Genomic DNA, 16,155 nt, shown 5'->3' with positions numbered 1-16,155 from the left:
TACGCAGAGGAGCTCTCAGAGTTAATTCAACCTACTACAGGAGGGGAATGGAAAGAGGGTCTCTGTATGCCAGTCATCCACTCTCCCAACCACATGTTGGGGCTCAGAAAATGGTACCCCAAAGTGAACGCCTCACAAACAGCCTCAGAAGCAAAGCTTTTCTCTGAACATCTCCTGCCTTCCTGTCTCTATCCCTTACTCTCCCGACACAAACCACAGAAACTAGAATTCTCTTCCCCACCCCTCACTCTCCCCAGAGGCAAGCCATAGAAACTAGAATTCCTCTTTCCCAAGGCAGGTCACAGAAACCAGAACTCCTTTCCCCTAAAGCCACCCATAAAACCTAAAAGTATTAGCCTTCTCCTGCCTTTCTGCGTAAGAGCTGGCCATAAAGAAATCCTTTGGTCGGGCAGGGCACAGTGGCTCACGCCTGTAATCCCAGCACTTTGGGAGGCTGAGGCAGGCAGATCACCTGAGGTCAGGAGTTCGAGACCAGCCTGGCCAACATGGTGAAACCCCGTCTCTATCAAAAACATAAAAAATTAGCTGGGCATGGTGGCACGCGCCTGTAATCCCAGCTGCTTGGGAGGCTGAGGCAGGAGAATCTGTTGAACCCGGGAGGCAGAGGTGCCATGAGCCGAGATCGTGCCATTGCACTCCAGCCTGGGTGACAGAGTGAGACTCCATCTCAAAAAAAAAAAAAAAAGAAATTCTCTGACCTACTTTGTTTGATAGTAGATCATAAGACCCCCACTCAGAATCCTGCCCCATACCCTGAAGGAAGGAATGCAGCACAGAGAGGCCAAGAAGGATCTGAGAGCAGGCCTTGCTGGGTTTCCCCACTCAGTCTGCTCCCATGGGGTCTTACTCTTTGTGTCCAATCATAGCTCTTCATAGTTGCCCATTCCTCCTCAAACTTAAGCATAAAAATGGAGTTTCCCTGGATCTTTGGATCTTCATTCTGAAGGCTCCCATGTCACGTAAAACTTTGATTAAATACATTTGTTATGCTTTCCTCTTGTTAACCTGTCTTTTGTTACAGGAGTGTTGCCTATGACCCTCATGATGGGGAGAAAAGGGATCACCCCATAGCTGCACCTACAATCCATTCATCCATCCATCCATCCATCCATCCATCCATCCATCCATTCCTCCATCCTCCATCTACCCACTCACCATTTCCAGTCATTCTACACTGTTCATCACACTTAGAAAGCCCTCTCCCTCTTACGTTGGCCTGCCAGCCCTGTGGCCTGGCCTCTGCCTGCCCTCACCAGCCTCCCAGGCACCCTGGCCTTCTCTCTGTTCTTGCAACAGGCCAGGCGTGCCGAACGCCTTTGTCCTCACTCCTCCTCTAGCCTGGAGAGAACCCCAACCCCACCCCCACCCCCAGAGCTTTGCGTGGCTGGCTCCCTCCTGTCATTCAGCTCCTAGCTCAAACATCCCCTCCTGGGACCTGCCTGCCAAATCTTAGGTACCCCAAGCGCCCCCATCATAGGACTCAGTTTTCCTATCAGCACTTCTCACCATCTAAAGTTCTGGTGAATGTGTTTACCATCTGGCTCCCTCCACCAGGGTGTGGCTTCTCAGGGGAGGGGTCTCGCCTGTTTTCTTCCTTGCCAGGTTCCCTGCACTGAGTAAAGGTTTGGCAGGTTGGGGGAGCTCACCACGTCCCTGCTGCCTGAAAGAGAAACCATTTCGGAGCACGGCCTGAGAAGGACAGAAACAGGAGAACGTAGGAGCCACAGCAGAGCTGCACCCAGAACCCAGGGCTCCTGACTCCCAGCCCTGGCCTCTTTCCACACCATCTGCTGGCCATGCCTGGGATCCAAAGCCCTATCCTGAACTGCCCACATATGCAACTTCACTGGCTACCAACGACCACGCTGTGGGCGAGGCAGGGAGGAAATGTGGCATCTTCATTTTACTGATGAGGCAACTGTGGCAGGAAGGGGCTGTGGGTGATTTGCCTGTGGTAATGCAGTGAGTGGTCCTGCTACTGGAGGGCTCCCTAGCATTGACAAGCCTGGCTTCCCTCTACCTCCCTATGCATCTGGGGCCGTGTGACTTGCGTCCACCTCTGTACAGCATCCTGTGGGAGGGAGGGCGCACCTCCAGGAAAGAGCACAGAAAGCTACGTTCTCAGGATGCAGCCAGGAGACTGAAGCCCTCTCCCAACCGGGGGCCCAGAGGGCACCTCAGCCATGGCCTGGCTATAAGTGAGAAGGGGAAGGACCTGGGGAAATGACTTCTCTTCTAAGAGACTCAGTGTCTTCATCTGGAGGATGAGGGGGTTGACCAGATGATCTCTAATTTCCCTAGGATCCACTTTTACCCCCATCCCCCAATGCTCAGTTTATAAGGGTCTGCAGCCTCTGGCTCAGGAATATAATCCCACAGAAGACTCGGAGCCTTAAGGTGCTATCATCTTTCTCACCCACTTTCTTCTGGGCCCCAACATTGTCCTGGAGGTAGAGAGGCCAGGAATTTGCACACCATGGCCCAGTGCTTTGATGATCCCCACTTTTGAAATCTGTCAGAACTAAGTTCGAAACCTAACATGTTCAGCTTGTAATTATCAGAGTTAAAGACAGAGAGAGAGAGAAAGAGAGAGAGAACCTAACATGGGCTAGCTGTGGGGGCTCACACCTGTAATCCCAATGCTTTGGGAGGCCGAGGCTGGAGGATCACTGAGGCCAGGAGTTCGAAACTAGTAAGAACCCATTTTTACAAAAAAAATTTTTTTTAATTTAGCCAGATGTGGTGGTGCATGCTTATAGTCCCAGCTACTCAGGCAGCTGACGCAGGAGAATTACTTGAGGCCAGGAGTTTGAGAATAGTTTGGGCAACATACGGGGAACCTGTCTTTATTAAAAAAAAAAAAATTTATCTGGGCATGGTGGCACATGCCTGTAGTCCTAGCTACTCAGGAGGCTGAAGCAGGAGGATCACTTGAGCTGGGGAGTTCCAGGCTGCTGTGAGCTGTGATTGCAAAACTACATTGAAGCCTGGGTGACAGAGCAAAACCCTGTCTCTAAAAACAAAACAAGAAAACCTAACCCCCCACTGACTGCCGCTGTGTGACCTCAGCAGGCTCGGGGGTGAGACTCGGTAAAGGGCAGGTTTTCGGGGTCCTCATCCACCCCCTTCCCTGTGACACAGAACTGCCCTTTGCCAACTTCCCTCGAATGTGAGAACAAACAAGATATACTGAGGGTTCCTTAGAGGAAGGCACTAGAACAAGCCTCAGCAATACTCCTTCCCTTTAAGCAGAGCCTTGGGCCCCTGCGCGCACACATCCCCACCACATGGGGGCTCATCGAATCCCGGCTGCTTTCCTCCTCCAGGTTCGTACAATCCACGAGACCAGAGGAAGACAGCAGGTGCCTGAGACATGCCCGAGCCTCGGCAGCTTCCCTACCTAGAGCAGAGGGAGAGGCGGGCAGCAGGCATGCAGTAGGGCTGGGCCTGGCAGCGGAGAGGCTGGCTCCTAGTCCCCATGGCCCCTCAGAGCCCAGCCTCCTCTCTGCTCTTCTGGGGCCTTGGTAGGACACATGAGATCACGTCTGGGCGGTGCTCAGGGCGTCTGAGAGAGAAAAGGCCCAAGGGATGGAGGTGGGATTAATTATGTATTAGCACGCTTCTTTATTAGCACTTCTGTTTACTGCAGGGCACAGTGGAAAACACATGGGGCTTGGTGTCAGAGAATCCAGGCTGGACATGGGGCCTGGCCATTCAAGAGGTGTGGGCAAGTCACAACCTCTTTGGGCCCCGGTTCCGGGAAAAAGGGGATGAACAACATCTGAGCGATGCTGGAGAAAGCATGACACAAATCAGATTTCCTCACCTGTCAGTGGGATTGCAAGAACACCAGCCTCCCAGCATCGCTCACTGTGAGGTGGCCAAGTGCCTGGCCCGGGGCCACATGTGAGTGACATGCAGGGGGTCTCGTTGCTGGAGGAGCAGGGAGGTGCAGGGTGAAAGGCCTGAGGATCGGGCTATTGGCAGTGCCGTTCAGGCTGGCACTCTCTGGGTGTGTCCCAGGTGGGTATGCTGGGCCAGCTCTCCTTAGGCAGATACCCACAGCAGCAAGAGAAGGAAGGGGCTGTGCAGGACTGCAGGGAGGGAGGCACCCGGCTCCTTGCCTGGCTAATGCAAGCCTCTCTTTGGGGTCCCAGCTGTGGGAGAGAAAGGGCTCCCTCTTCCCTAGGATGCCAGATCCATCAGCAGCTAATTATCTAATCTGTTCCCCTTGGCCTGAGGACCACGATCACAGGCTCAAGGAGTCACTGGCCATGAGCTGAATCTGACAGAAAAGGACGCTTGCAGGCCACACCCTCAGGAGGGCAGGTGTTGGGGAGGCAGGTCCAGGGCTTCCGCCTCCAGGGCTGGCCCAGAGGCTGGAGAAGTCCAAGTTCAAGTTCCTGGGGCTGACTCATCAGAAAGAGGGTGAAGAGAAGGTCAGGGCAGGGACTGGTTGAATCAAGACAGGCTCTCCTTGCAGGAGGGCCTGCAGACAGGCTGCTGCAGAAAAGGAAGGCGCAGACGTGTCCATAAATACTCCCAGATTCAGTTATGTGCTCCTCTGCCTCCTGCCATACAAAAGTCTCACTGATGCATCCCGTCACCCCCACAACCCAGGACCAGTGCCCCAACAGGAGGGCTCTGGGGGCCTCTCCAGCTCCTTACTGACAGTCCGGCTGCTGCTGCCGCTGCCCTGGCACGCCAGGCATGCCAGGCCCAGGCACTGCCAAGTCACATGCTCTGCGCGGGCGAGGCCGGGCACTGCTGGGGCAGCCTTGGGGATGCAGGGTGGTGTGGCATTCGCAGGCAGTGTGGGTCTGCAGAAAAACGGAGTGCCCAGAGGCAGCCGGCCACCTGCCTGCCACCCTCCCCAGCCCCACCCTCCTTCCAGGGGAGAAATCCTTGGGCAAACAGTCAGCCAGGTGTGAGCAGCACAGCTAATGCAGGGCTGGGAAAAGCAAACACGGAGGGCCTCCATGCTGTGGGCCCGCTGCCCTATGGGGTGGCATTCGGGTGGCCCTGCCCACAGCTGCCATTGGTGTCCCCAGCACTCTGCCTACAGTATTTGGAGGGTCTTCCAGGATGAATGCTTTGGCCTTCCCTCCACTGTACTCCCCGGAGGGGCCTGACTGTGAGGTGACAGAAGCAGCGCAGGGAAGAACAGGCAAGGCATGAGTCTGCAAAGGGTGAGGCGGACCTAGGCCTGGAGTCTCTGCTGGGCCATGCCTTGGCTGGGTGACTTGGAGCAAGTCAAAGGACCTCAGGGCCAGGGATGCCCACCGCACATGGCCTTTGTGAAGGTTAAATGGGATGAGGCCCATGTGGGACCACTGAGAAAGGATTTGGCACAGAAGAGGGTCTGGATATGTGGGTGCTCAGCTTAGTGCCACCTGTGGGTGTGGGGTGGAGCCAGGGCAGGTCGCAGTAGGAGAGGCAGTGCCATGGAGGTCTGGCCCACACACTCTCCCAGGGCATGCTCACCTGGCTGATCTGTGACCCCCTGGCCTTAGCTCCAGGGCAGTAAGGCCAACACCAGACTTCTGGCCTGTGGCTGCAGGGCCAGCCAGGAGGGAAGGATGGTCCAGTTCTATTCTACCAGCAGGGGCTGCTGCGTCTACTGGCCCCAAACTCAGGGCAGAATTCCCCCCAACTGAGAAAGGCCTGTTCCCCCAATGGCTCCCATCCAGGGCTTCAGCTTCAGGCTGGCCCCCACCCATACGCAGCCAGAGGAGGCCCTGTCTTTCTGAGGGTGCATAGCATGTCCTGCTTTCTCTGCTCTGCTGTGCACCACAGTTGAGCGTGCTCTGCAGGCGGTCTGCATGCCTCTGTGCCCTTGCACAGTCTGTTCTCTTTGCCCAAAAGGCCTTTTCCAATCCTGCTCCCCTGGGAACTCCTCAGTGTTCCAAAGCTCAGCCTAAACACAACCTCCTCTGTGAAGCTGCCAGGGCCCGCCAACCCCCAAGGGCAGACCTAATCAGTGCCCCCTCCATTCCGGGCTCCCCACTGGGCTGGGAGCTCCAGGAGGGCAGGGCTACACTCTGCATCTCTGTGTCCTTGGCACCCAGCACCACGCCTGGTGCCTAGCAGCTGCTCAAGAAATGTCAGACAAGGCCCCCGGGCCAGCTCCCTTGCTCCTCTCAGATCATGCTGCCGGCACATTTGGCCAAAGAGACTCAGAGATGGCATGTGGGAAGCAGGGTAAGAGTGAGCTTCCCCAGGGAAGCAGGTGGGGTACGAGGTTTCCTTTCCTTTGGAAACTGTCCGTGCTACGTGCACCAAGCTTCACCCACTATCAGAAGTGGCTCTGGAGGCTTGCAGGCTGCCTCCCCATCTCCAAAAGCAGAAACCAAAGTTAGCAGGGGGGTGAGCAAAGGAAAGGGAAGTGCACCGGAACTGCAGAGAGAAAGGCAGTTGTGGCTGCCATCTGCTGTGAGCAAGATGTTTGGAGAACATGCGCTCCTCATTCTGAGGTCTCCCAGCCAACTTGCAGAGAGCTGGGCCGCCCCTCTGCAGATGGGAGCCTGCAGCTCAGCCAAGCTGCAGAGGCACCACAGGAGAGATGTCAGGGACCCTGCCTGCCTGCCCTGACCCTCTGGCTGGCCCAGTCTGACCTTCTGATTCTTGAGCAGACTGGGGGCCAGGATGCCAGCCCAGGACAAGAGTCACACTGCCTTTTCCAGGGAGCCCCCAACAGGCTCTGAGAAGGCAACTCCACAATAAGGCTGATGATAATGTAAACATAAGGGTGATAAGGGCAGTAGTACCAGCCATTGCTCACTGAGAGCCCAACTAGCTGCCAGAAGACCTGGTACTGGGAACTTCCAGTCATTATCTCACTTTGCCCCATGACTCCCAGGGGAGGAGGAAATGGAGGGTCCAAGAAAGGGCCCTGGCACTGCTCCTCACTGCAGAGACACCTGGCTACCCAGGGCCATCACAGGAGGAAATTAGCTGGGCATGGCAGGGCATGCCTGTAGTCCCAGCTGCTTGGGAGGCTGAGATGGGAGGATCACTTGAGCCCAGGAATTCGAGGCTGCAGTGAGTGCACTGAGCTATGATTGTACCACGGCACTCCAGGCTGGGTGACAGAGCAAGACCCTGTCTAAAAAATAAAAAAATAATAAAAATAAAAAAAAACAGGAGAATATCTGAGTGGGAAGGAACCTCTGAGCCACTGAGTCACAAATGCTCATTTGAGGGAGGAAGGTGAGGAAGGATGTAGACAGCTGCCCCAGGCCACATCGAGGTCAGCAGCAGGCTGGGAGCAGAACCTGGAACCCTGCCCCACAGCCCAGGCTCCTGGGGCCTTGGTGTGCTCCTGCGCAGGAATGGCTGCTGTCCTCCTGTCCTTGGCACCACCTGGGGCTCAGCCACGTGTGGCCATTCCCCCAAGCAGAGCGATGCATTTCCGAGGACTGAGGTAATGCTGGCCTTGCCTGGAGGGCCCATCTCAGTTTAGGCCAGGCCTTCCCTCGCCCTGGCCCGGCTTCTATGCTCCTGACCACAGCAGCGGGCCAAGCTCAGGAGGCTGGGTAGGGTTGGGCCTACCAACCACATTCCTTTCCAGGGCCACCTTACCCTGGGGCTACCCACAAAGGAATTTGCACAGCCAACAGCCTCATCAGAGTCACTGGAGCTGTCCATGGCACTGGGGCACAGAAACCGCTTCATTTCTCACTGGCCAGGTGAGCAGGTAGGGGGCTGAGAAGTCTGCCTGCCAAGACCGAACCATGCCAGGGTCCTGAATGTCGCCCTGTGCCCTCAGCCCTGGCAGGCCAGTCCCCAGAGGCTACCATCCCCTGCTATGCCATCCCAGGGAGGTCATGGGTGACCTCCCTCCCCTTGGCGATAGGAAGGTGAGGATCTTGGGGCAAACCACCCAGATCCACACCTCCCATCCCACCCCACGCAGCTCTGCTGCCACTGCCCCCACAGGCCAGCTCACAAGCCGCACACTCCACATTTCTGTCTGCTCAGTCCTCCCCCAGCCCCCTACACACGGTAATTGCAACACCTCCACCCCACTGACAGTGCCTGCCGCTGCCTGCTCGCTGCCAAGGAGGCTGGGATGGCCCAAAGATGTGCTTCACGCAAACCTTGCTAGGGGAAGGGACTACAGTTTTCCCCTTTTCTCCAAGGGGTCTTTGGATCCGGGTGCTGACCCCACTTCCTGCCTCTCACAGCTCCCCACCCCACCCCACCCCACCCCCAACCCCGGGTCGCCCAGTCTGTGAAATGCCTCTTACTCTGGGAGGGATGGAGGGAATCAATGGCTTCCCTATTCTCCTGCCTCTCCCACAGGGGAAGGGGAGGGGAGGCATGTGGCCCCTGGAGGGATCTTTCAGGGAGCGCCCCGGCCCCACTGCTCCTCCCCGCTGGGAAGTGGGGGTGGTGTCCTTGACGGACGGACGGCTGGGCGTCAGGTCCACTGGGAGTGGAAGGCAGGCAGCCAGGGTAGTGGGCACCTCCACCCCCACTCTCCCGCTCCCAGGACTCCATGGGAATCGCTGTCACTATCCAGACACCTTCACAGAGAACTCATGCCTAGGCTGAGGCACAGCCAGGCCGAGGGTGAGTCAGCCAGGGAAATCCCGGCACTGGCGCCCACCGCTGGTGACGGTTCCGCTGACACCTACGGAACGGGGTGCCCAGCCCCTCCCGCAGAGGGTGAGAGGAACACCCAGGCTCCCCCACTCTCATTTCCTGCTCCCTGAGAGCAAGCCTGGTGGTGGGGACAGGGAGGAGTCTCAGTGGGGGCGGAGTCCTGGAGCGAGGCCTCCGCAGGCTGCCGTCTTTGGGCCTCTGGTCCCTCACCCTTGAACATCAGCGGGGAAGGAGGTGGGAGAACGGTCACCACAGCCCCTGGGCTCTGGCCCGGAGCCTGTCATCCACACTCTGGGTATCTGGCTTTCCAGGGTCTCACCGGGGCACGCAGGGATGCACACCCTACCTCATTCCTGAAGGGCCCTGCCCCTGCCCTCCTTCCAGGCAAGGCCACTGCTCTGCCTGAGCCCAGCACCCCCACTATATGCTGTCCTGGACCCCAAAAAGGCAAGATAGAGAGCAGACTTAAGCCAGAAGTCAGTACCCTCCCTGGGATGAAAGAGAGAGAGGAGGAGCAAAGAGGAGCCAAGAAGAACAGAAAGCCAGGCACAAAGCCTCCTTACAGCAGGACATTCTGTCCCTGGAGAAGCGCCTGTGGCCAGGTCCCCACAAACTCGCCAGACCAGTTGGCTGGAGCGGGGTGGGAGGCTCAGACCAGGGCCAGAGAGTGGACCTAGGACCTGAAAGCTCCCAGACAAGAAGCTCCCACTGCTCCTCCCCGCTGGGAAGTGGGAGTGGGTTGGACTCAGCAGGCCCTTAGGCAGGAGCTTCTGGGGACATGAACTCGAGGATGCCAAGCCCTATCCTCAAGTAGCTCACAGTGCAGAATAACAAGGAAACCGGGGCGGGTCAGTGAGCACAGAGCTCCGACACTGATGCCTGGACCACTGCTCAGCCCCAGGCAGACAGAGAAAGCTTCCTAGAGGTGCCTGATGGTTGAACAGAAAGAGCGGGGAAAGCAAAGCTGGCTCCCCTCCTCTTGCCCCTCCTCCCACCCGGTTCCCCAGAGCCTGTGGGCAGATGCACCTTGTGCAGGGCCAGATTCCAGCCAGCAGGGAGGCTGGGCACCACTTTAGCTCCCAACCCTGCCTCTCAGTTGCTGGCAAAGGTAGTTTCTGCAGGCTCCCTGGGCTAGGAAAAACACGCTTGCGAGTACACAGAGAGGGCCCGTGGGGCTGCTTCCTGGAATCACCAGAACACAGGTGCTTGGTGCTCCCCAGGCAGAGCCCCTCCACTGGCGGGGAGACGTGCACATGTTTGGGTTTTGCCAGGCCCCCAGCTTTTATCTTCCAGGCTTCCCCTCTCCATGGTTCTTCCTGAAGACCAGGCCTCTCGCTCTTCCCAGGCAGGGAAGTGGGTAATGCGAGCGATCCAGAAACCCAACTATTACTTTGAAAGAAGACTGAAAACATGTGACCGCATGAATCCCATGGGTTTACTTCAATGTCTTTAAAACAAATGACTTGAATGGATTTCTCCCACCCTTCCTCCCCACGGAGCCACTCGATGGAAAACAGCAGCTCAAAGGGCCACAGATTCAGGGCTGCCGGAAATGGGGTATCAGACACAAAGCCTGGCAGGGGGCACTTGAATAAAGGCAGCTTTGGCCAGGAAAGGATGAAAGGCAGACACCTGACAACTGACAGGCAGCCGGCGCAGAGGCACAAAGGGTGCACGTGAGGCCAATGTCAGGTCCAAGCACACCCAGGCACCCCGGCCCTCTGCTATGGGTGGTGGATCGCTCTCATGTCCCAGCATTGGTCTCCCTTCCTCCTGCCACAGCATGGAAGCCTGGCTGTGGGGACAGCAGTGGCCTTGCTCAAGCCCTTGACTGGAGAGCCCTGCCCTGAGCAGCCATTTACGCGCAAACTCACTGGGTAGCTGGAACACACAGGTGAGGTCTTCTTGGGCAGCAAAAATTGCTTAGAAAAAAACAGGCAAGGAAGCAGGACTGAAGACATGTGACAGTCCCCAGAAGTTCAGAGCTGGAGAGGCCCAGGGAACTCAGATGCCACGCCTCCCTGATTCCCCGAATCCTACAGATGAGTACCCTAAGCTCATAGAGGAATGCTGACGTGCCAAGGTCACACAGCTTTGGGCCTCTGCCCCATCCTTGGCTGCCTTCCCAGCCTCATTCATGCAGCCATTACTCTCCGAGCATATCCTATGTGCCTAGACTCTGGAATTTAGATTTAGTCACCTAGGTGATGCCAAACTAAACTTGGCCTCAGAGGTTTGCAAGCTGGGGGCTTCCCACCTCTCAGCTGTCCCCTCCCCACCCTCTCCTCTTATGTAAAATGGGAGGAGTGCTGGGCATCATCAGGGAAGACTCAAAGCAGAGAGGAAGTAAGAAAGCGGGAGAAGCGGTGTGAAGCCCTGGGGATCATCAGCCATACCCTGGAGGTGAGGGAGGCGATGGTGAAAGTCACCCCAGTGGGGGAGTCTGGGCTGCCCCTGGCTGCAGGAGCCTCACCTCAGGCAGGGCAGGTGCACTGTGACCGGGGACCCCAGACCAGACACGCTGACTTATGCATAAGAAAAAGACTTATCTTTGGCCGGGCATGGTGGCTCATGCCTGTAATCCCAGCACTTTGGGAGGCCGAGGGAGGCGGACCACAAGATCAGGAGATCGAGACCAGCCTGGCCAATATGGTGAAACCCGGTCTCCACTAAAAATACAAAAATTAGCTGGGCATGGTGGTGGGCGCCTGTAGTCCCAGCTACTCTGGAGGCTGAGGCAGGAGAATCGCTTAAACCCAGGAGGCAGAGATTGCAGTAAGCCAAGATTGCACCACTGCACTCTGGCCTGGACAACAGAGTAAGACTCCATGTCAAAAAAAAAAAAGAAAGAAAAAGAAAAAGACTTATCTTTTTATTACAAAAATACAAGTTCTCTATAGAAAATAGAAACTAGCTGGGTGCAGTGGCTCATATCTGTAATCCCAGTACTTTGGGAGGCTGGATCACCTGAGGTCCAGGAGTTCGAGACCAGCCTGGCCAACATGGTGAAACCCCGTCTGTACTAAAAATACAAAAATTAGCCAGATGTGGTGGCGGGCACCTACAGTCCCAGATATTTGCGAGGCTAAGGCAGGAGAATGGCTTGAACTGAGAAGGCAGACCGCACCACTGCACTCCAGCCTGGGCAACAGAGTGAGACTCAATCTCACCAAAAAAAAAAAAAATAGAAACCAAAAAGAAGAAAATATAAATCACCCATGATCCCTCTAGGAAAACTATCAACTATTAACATCCTTCTAGTCTTTTTTTTCCTCCATCTAATTGTGGGACCATTCGGCATCTACCATTTTTTTTTTTACTGAACTAAAAGGTGAGCACTTCTCCTTAAACATTTTCCTACCGCCATCTTTCCTCATTATTGTGGAGTAGTCCACATACAAGATGTACGGAAGTTCATTCAACCAACTCTCTACTCGGGGATGTTGGGTTGTTTCCCTCTTCTCGGTGTGAGAAAACCCCACAGCTGGGCCCCAGGCAGAGTGGCTCTGGGGTCCTGGGCTTTGGTGACAGGATCCTGCAGGAACCCGGAACTCCTGACCCCAGCCTGGTGTTCCTTCTCCCCCTGGCAGATGCAAAGGTTTATGCATAAAGGGTGGGAGTGGGGAGCGGGGATTCTGCCCTTCTTCCCATCTCTCAGGCAATGAGTGGTCGCCAGTAACTCTCAAACTTATGCAGACTCCCAGGCCCCGCCCAGCAATTCTGAATCAGTAAGCCCAAGGCAGGGCTCAGGAACCTATATTTTTAGGTTCCAAGTTCTACCATGGCCAACCCCAGGAGACTCTGAGGCTGGAGTTAACCAATCTACACTCAGAAATCCTGCTCTGAAGGATGAGTCCTGGCCAGGACTGCTCAAGTGTGCATAAGCAGAACTTCCAGAGCTGGCTGCAGGCTCCCCTCCCAGCGATTCTGATGTGGAGGAGGGTGGTGGTGAAGGGATGCTGAGATGCTGCATTTCTAACCTGGTCCCAGGTGATGCTGAAGCTGCCGGCTCATGGGCCACGTGGGCACCTGTGCAGGCCCTGGGTTCTGCCTGGACGTACGATCACAGCAGGCTCTAATGCACTGACTATGGGTCAAACACTGCCCTCCAGACTCAAGGTGAGGTGTGCTCCAGGGCCTGCAGCAGCAGCATTATTGGGAGTTGTTAGAAATGCACATCTGGGCCCAGCCAGCCTAAACTGGAATCTGCGTTGGCAAGCTCCCCAGTGATCTGTGTGCCCATCAAAGAAGCACGATGCTGAGTCTGTCACAAGCCAGCATCATCTCATGTCACCTCCTAACACTCCTCAGAGGCCAATTATTCCCTGATTTTACAGGTGGAAACTGCAGCTGAGAGGTGAAAGGACCTGGTTAAGGACTCAAGACTACCCCCAGCAGGAGCTGCAACAGGCAGCCAGACCGTCTGGCCTGAGTTCTCAACCCTACATCCCAACACCCCCTGCGGTTTCCCATTCAATCACCACCAGCACTCCAAGGTGGGTTCACTCCACTTTATGGAGACTCGAGGAGGTCAAATCAACTGCTCCAAAGCGCTCCCTGGAGCATGGTGGAGCCTGCCCCTGTGGCTGTGTTTGTTCCCTCTCAGCCCACTCTGTCTGCGGGCACAGAGCCAGAGCACAGGGCCAGGTTGGGTTGGGGGGGGTCCCACCTCCAAAGGCTGCAGGCTCTGCAGACACAGTTGGAGGCAGGAAGTGGGAACTCGGGCGGAAGAACCAGGAGCTCGATTTGGGCTGAGGATATTCTTTCTTCACAGCCAGACTCAGTTTTGTGTGCCTTTTGAAAGGAGACAGAGAATAGCTGTGCTCAGCCCAATGAGGCCAGCCACTTTCAACCTTCTTGTTGTTGCCATTTCCAATTACAATTTCAGAGGGTTCCTATAATTTATACATCCCAGGATGCACTGCTCCAGCTGCTTTATGATGGGAGTTCATTACACCATTAAGGTTAAACTTTTATAAAGCACTGAGCAGCTGGTGGGCTGGGTGCCCAGCTTTGTTATTGCTGCCGGAAGCCTGCTGAATAGGGTTCACCTGGGGAAGGGAGGGATTAAAGGGGCGAAGAAATGGAGCAGGCAGCTGCTCAGGTGCCCCGAGCCCTCCATTAGGCTGTGTTCTAAACTGCATGGTGTAGCAGGCAGCAAAGAGAACAATCTGGAGTGGCACTGGCAGGGGCGTGTGGGGTGAGAGGAGCCATGCTGTGCGAGCCTGAAAGCCGCCTGCCACGGCCGGCGAGGTACAGGGTCGGTGAAGGTCGGTTGGACAACAGTGGGAGTAACAAGGTGGTGCAAGCCACAGATGGGTCTACATGTGGGGAGCGGCGAGGGCTTCCTGGGAGCGGGGCCTGGCCTTCGCAGCAAGAGGATAGCCAAAGGGGGCCTTCCTTTTGTGGGCGGCTGTTCCTCCCGTGGCTCACAGAATCCCCAAACCCCATGCCAGGTGAGGGGAATGTGCACACCCTGAGAGCAGGGGCCAGACAGACGGAACCTGAGTCCCAGCTACAAACACGCAGCCTCTAACAGATTCCCTCAATTCCCCAAGGAAGCTGAGGTCCTAGACTTGGACCCCTGCTGTGAAACGAGTGCTTCCTCCATGGGTGCCATGGGACTGTCCTGAGCACAGAGCCTAGAGGGGTGAGTGTCTAGAAAATGGAAGCCATCACTGTTCATTGCATTAAATGTGTCCCTACACATAAAGCACTGTGTAGCAGAGAGGACTCACCACATAGCTTTTGCCATTGTGGCTGCTGGTAGAGTGGTAGTGTCCGCTTATGCCAACCCAGGAACTCCCTCAGGACGAAGTGATACCATTATTCCCAGCTCCAGGCACAAGGCTTGGCAAGTAGGTGCTCAATAAATGTCCTTGAATAAATGGGGAGATGGGAGACTACACGTGGCAAAACTATTATCTGCTCCACGGTCTGGCCCCAGTCCCAGCGAAGGTGTCAAAGGAGAAGCAAGTTCTTTTCAAAGGTATGAAACTGAAACAACCCTTAAGAAAAATTCCTTAAGTTCCTAGGGGGAAAGAGACTTGGATACGGCTGGTGTTCTGGCCCTGGGGGTGCACTGGGGCTGACTCTGGCCCTGCAGCCCAGGAGAGTTTGCGGTGCCTGGAAGCTCAGGCCTCAGCTGGGGCTCTGCAGACCCGGTGGGCTGCACTCCCATTGCCCTGGAGAGGCTGCCCAGACCAGAGAGGATGGCATGGAATTCTGTGAGGCCAAGTCATGATCCCCCAACTCTTAGGAGGGCAGCTGAAAGGGCTGAGGGGCTTTGTGCGGGGAGACTCAGAGAATCTGAGGAAGAAACTGGCTTCCCCTAAAGGCCTCAGAGAGGAAAAGTTAGACAAAGAAAAGGCAGTGGATAGAAGCAGTACCAAAAGAGGCCAGGCACAGTGGCTCACTCCTGTAAACCCAGCACTTTGGGAGGCCGAGGTGGATGGATCACGAGGTCAGGAGATCGAGACCATCCTGGCTAACACGGTGAAACCCTGTCTCTACTAAAAATACAAAAAATTAGCCGGGCGTGGTGGCAGGCACCTGTAGTCCCAGCTACTTGGGAGTCTGAGGCAGGAGAATGGCGTGAACCCAGGAGGTAGAGCTTGCAGTGAGCCCAGATCACACCACTGCACTCCAGCCTGGGCAACAGAGCAAGACTCCATCTCAAAAAAAAAAAAAAGATGAGGAAACTGAGGCTCAAACAGGTCAAGTGACTTGCACAAGTAGTAGTGGTCTCATATAAAGCTCTGTCTTTATGCTAAAGCCCATGTCTGAAGGCCTGTGCTATGCTGAATTTAAAGAGGGAGAGAGAATGAATCAGAAGTGGATAATCTTGGAGACCAGGCAGACTCGAGTGGGTGAAGTGGGCAGGTGCTAACTGGGAGGCAGGGCACTGGGAGTTCCCAGCCTCTGCAGATGAGGCTGAAAAGGCCAGGACAGTCCCCTTAGCCACTGGGCCTAGGGCTGCGCAGTGATTCTGCAGCCTGCCCCAAAACTGCAGCGGGGCAGCTGTCCCAGGGCAGTGGAGGAGCTTGGATGAAGTGGGAGTTGGCTAAAGGGCGTGCCAGGGGAGCCTGATGTAATCCCGGCCCGCAGAAGGCGGAAACTTGGGAAGTGAAACAAAACATCCCCTAACAGTAGCCTGGCCACAATTTCCAATGAGCGATGGCAGGCATGCCTTGCCCCCACCCACAAGTCCAAGGGCTCTGCCCTTTTCTTCAGGCCCTGGCAGCACGTGTCATCTTCCCCAGCCCCAGCCCAGCACTGAAATGCGCTCCGAGTAAAGCTGATGAGAAAGCAGAGGATTCCCAGCCAGTGCCCCGGGAGCCTTGCCACTGTGAGGCTGGTGGCCCCGTCGCTTTCCGGAACAGACACAGGGCTCACCTCCTCACAAGGCTTTCCGCATGTGTTGAGGGGTGAGGGGAGGTCTGGGTGGCTGCCTGGCGAGCTATCCTCCTTCCTCCCCACACCCAGCCTGAACTGACCTAGTTAGGCTGCATGTGGGAGATGGGAGAG

At 55.9% G+C, this 16,155-nt stretch overlaps 1 protein-coding gene across 5 annotated transcripts in view, besides 11 other annotated features; it reads right to left on the bottom strand.

The window, feature by feature from the left end:
* Positions 1-16,155, bottom strand: part of DAGLA (diacylglycerol lipase alpha) — a 66,611-nt gene that overhangs the window by 42,174 nt on the left and 8,282 nt on the right. The gene's annotated exons all lie outside the window — the stretch shown is intronic.
* Positions 3,205-3,730: an enhancer, noted in NCBI's record as "H3K4me1 hESC enhancer chr11:61468570-61469095 (GRCh37/hg19 assembly coordinates)". NCBI's record gives its function as "activates a minimal SCP1, AML or CMV promoter by ChIP-STARR-seq in primed H9 embryonic stem cells {active_cell/tissue: H9 hESC(primed)}" and the evidence as "EXISTENCE:reporter gene assay evidence [ECO:0000049][PMID:30033119]".
* Positions 4,258-4,783: an enhancer, noted in NCBI's record as "H3K4me1 hESC enhancer chr11:61467517-61468042 (GRCh37/hg19 assembly coordinates)". NCBI's record gives its function as "activates a minimal SCP1, AML or CMV promoter by ChIP-STARR-seq in primed H9 embryonic stem cells {active_cell/tissue: H9 hESC(primed)}" and the evidence as "EXISTENCE:reporter gene assay evidence [ECO:0000049][PMID:30033119]".
* Positions 4,784-5,310: an enhancer, noted in NCBI's record as "H3K4me1 hESC enhancer chr11:61466990-61467516 (GRCh37/hg19 assembly coordinates)". NCBI's record gives its function as "activates a minimal SCP1, AML or CMV promoter by ChIP-STARR-seq in primed H9 embryonic stem cells {active_cell/tissue: H9 hESC(primed)}" and the evidence as "EXISTENCE:reporter gene assay evidence [ECO:0000049][PMID:30033119]".
* Positions 5,837-6,363: an enhancer, noted in NCBI's record as "H3K4me1 hESC enhancer chr11:61465937-61466463 (GRCh37/hg19 assembly coordinates)". NCBI's record gives its function as "activates a minimal SCP1, AML or CMV promoter by ChIP-STARR-seq in primed H9 embryonic stem cells {active_cell/tissue: H9 hESC(primed)}" and the evidence as "EXISTENCE:reporter gene assay evidence [ECO:0000049][PMID:30033119]".
* Positions 6,364-6,889: an enhancer, noted in NCBI's record as "H3K4me1 hESC enhancer chr11:61465411-61465936 (GRCh37/hg19 assembly coordinates)". NCBI's record gives its function as "activates a minimal SCP1, AML or CMV promoter by ChIP-STARR-seq in primed H9 embryonic stem cells {active_cell/tissue: H9 hESC(primed)}" and the evidence as "EXISTENCE:reporter gene assay evidence [ECO:0000049][PMID:30033119]".
* Positions 8,471-8,997: an enhancer, noted in NCBI's record as "H3K4me1 hESC enhancer chr11:61463303-61463829 (GRCh37/hg19 assembly coordinates)". NCBI's record gives its function as "activates a minimal SCP1, AML or CMV promoter by ChIP-STARR-seq in primed H9 embryonic stem cells {active_cell/tissue: H9 hESC(primed)}" and the evidence as "EXISTENCE:reporter gene assay evidence [ECO:0000049][PMID:30033119]".
* Positions 8,537-8,831: an enhancer, noted in NCBI's record as "tiled region #11353; K562 Activating non-DNase unmatched - State 20:ReprD, and HepG2 Activating DNase matched - State 12:CtcfO". NCBI's record gives its function as "activates a minimal TATA promoter and a strong SV40 promoter by Sharpr-MPRA in K562 cells, with weaker activation in HepG2 cells {active_cell/tissue: HepG2 | K562}" and the evidence as "EXISTENCE:reporter gene assay evidence [ECO:0000049][PMID:27701403]".
* Positions 8,998-9,524: an enhancer, noted in NCBI's record as "H3K4me1 hESC enhancer chr11:61462776-61463302 (GRCh37/hg19 assembly coordinates)". NCBI's record gives its function as "activates a minimal SCP1, AML or CMV promoter by ChIP-STARR-seq in primed H9 embryonic stem cells {active_cell/tissue: H9 hESC(primed)}" and the evidence as "EXISTENCE:reporter gene assay evidence [ECO:0000049][PMID:30033119]".
* Positions 9,525-10,050: an enhancer, noted in NCBI's record as "H3K4me1 hESC enhancer chr11:61462250-61462775 (GRCh37/hg19 assembly coordinates)". NCBI's record gives its function as "activates a minimal SCP1, AML or CMV promoter by ChIP-STARR-seq in primed H9 embryonic stem cells {active_cell/tissue: H9 hESC(primed)}" and the evidence as "EXISTENCE:reporter gene assay evidence [ECO:0000049][PMID:30033119]".
* Positions 13,456-13,987: an enhancer, noted in NCBI's record as "H3K4me1 hESC enhancer chr11:61458313-61458844 (GRCh37/hg19 assembly coordinates)". NCBI's record gives its function as "activates a minimal SCP1, AML or CMV promoter by ChIP-STARR-seq in naive H9 embryonic stem cells {active_cell/tissue: H9 hESC(naive)}" and the evidence as "EXISTENCE:reporter gene assay evidence [ECO:0000049][PMID:30033119]".
* Positions 13,988-14,519: an enhancer, noted in NCBI's record as "H3K27ac-H3K4me1 hESC enhancer chr11:61457781-61458312 (GRCh37/hg19 assembly coordinates)". NCBI's record gives its function as "activates a minimal SCP1, AML or CMV promoter by ChIP-STARR-seq in naive H9 embryonic stem cells {active_cell/tissue: H9 hESC(naive)}" and the evidence as "EXISTENCE:reporter gene assay evidence [ECO:0000049][PMID:30033119]".

The sequence above is a fragment of the Homo sapiens genome, chromosome 11, assembly GCF_000001405.40.
Source record: "Homo sapiens chromosome 11, GRCh38.p14 Primary Assembly".
NCBI classification, from domain to species: domain Eukaryota; kingdom Metazoa; phylum Chordata; class Mammalia; order Primates; family Hominidae; genus Homo; species Homo sapiens.
The sequence above is the reverse complement of the archived record's forward strand: the minus strand, read 5'-3'. Positions and strand labels throughout refer to the sequence as shown.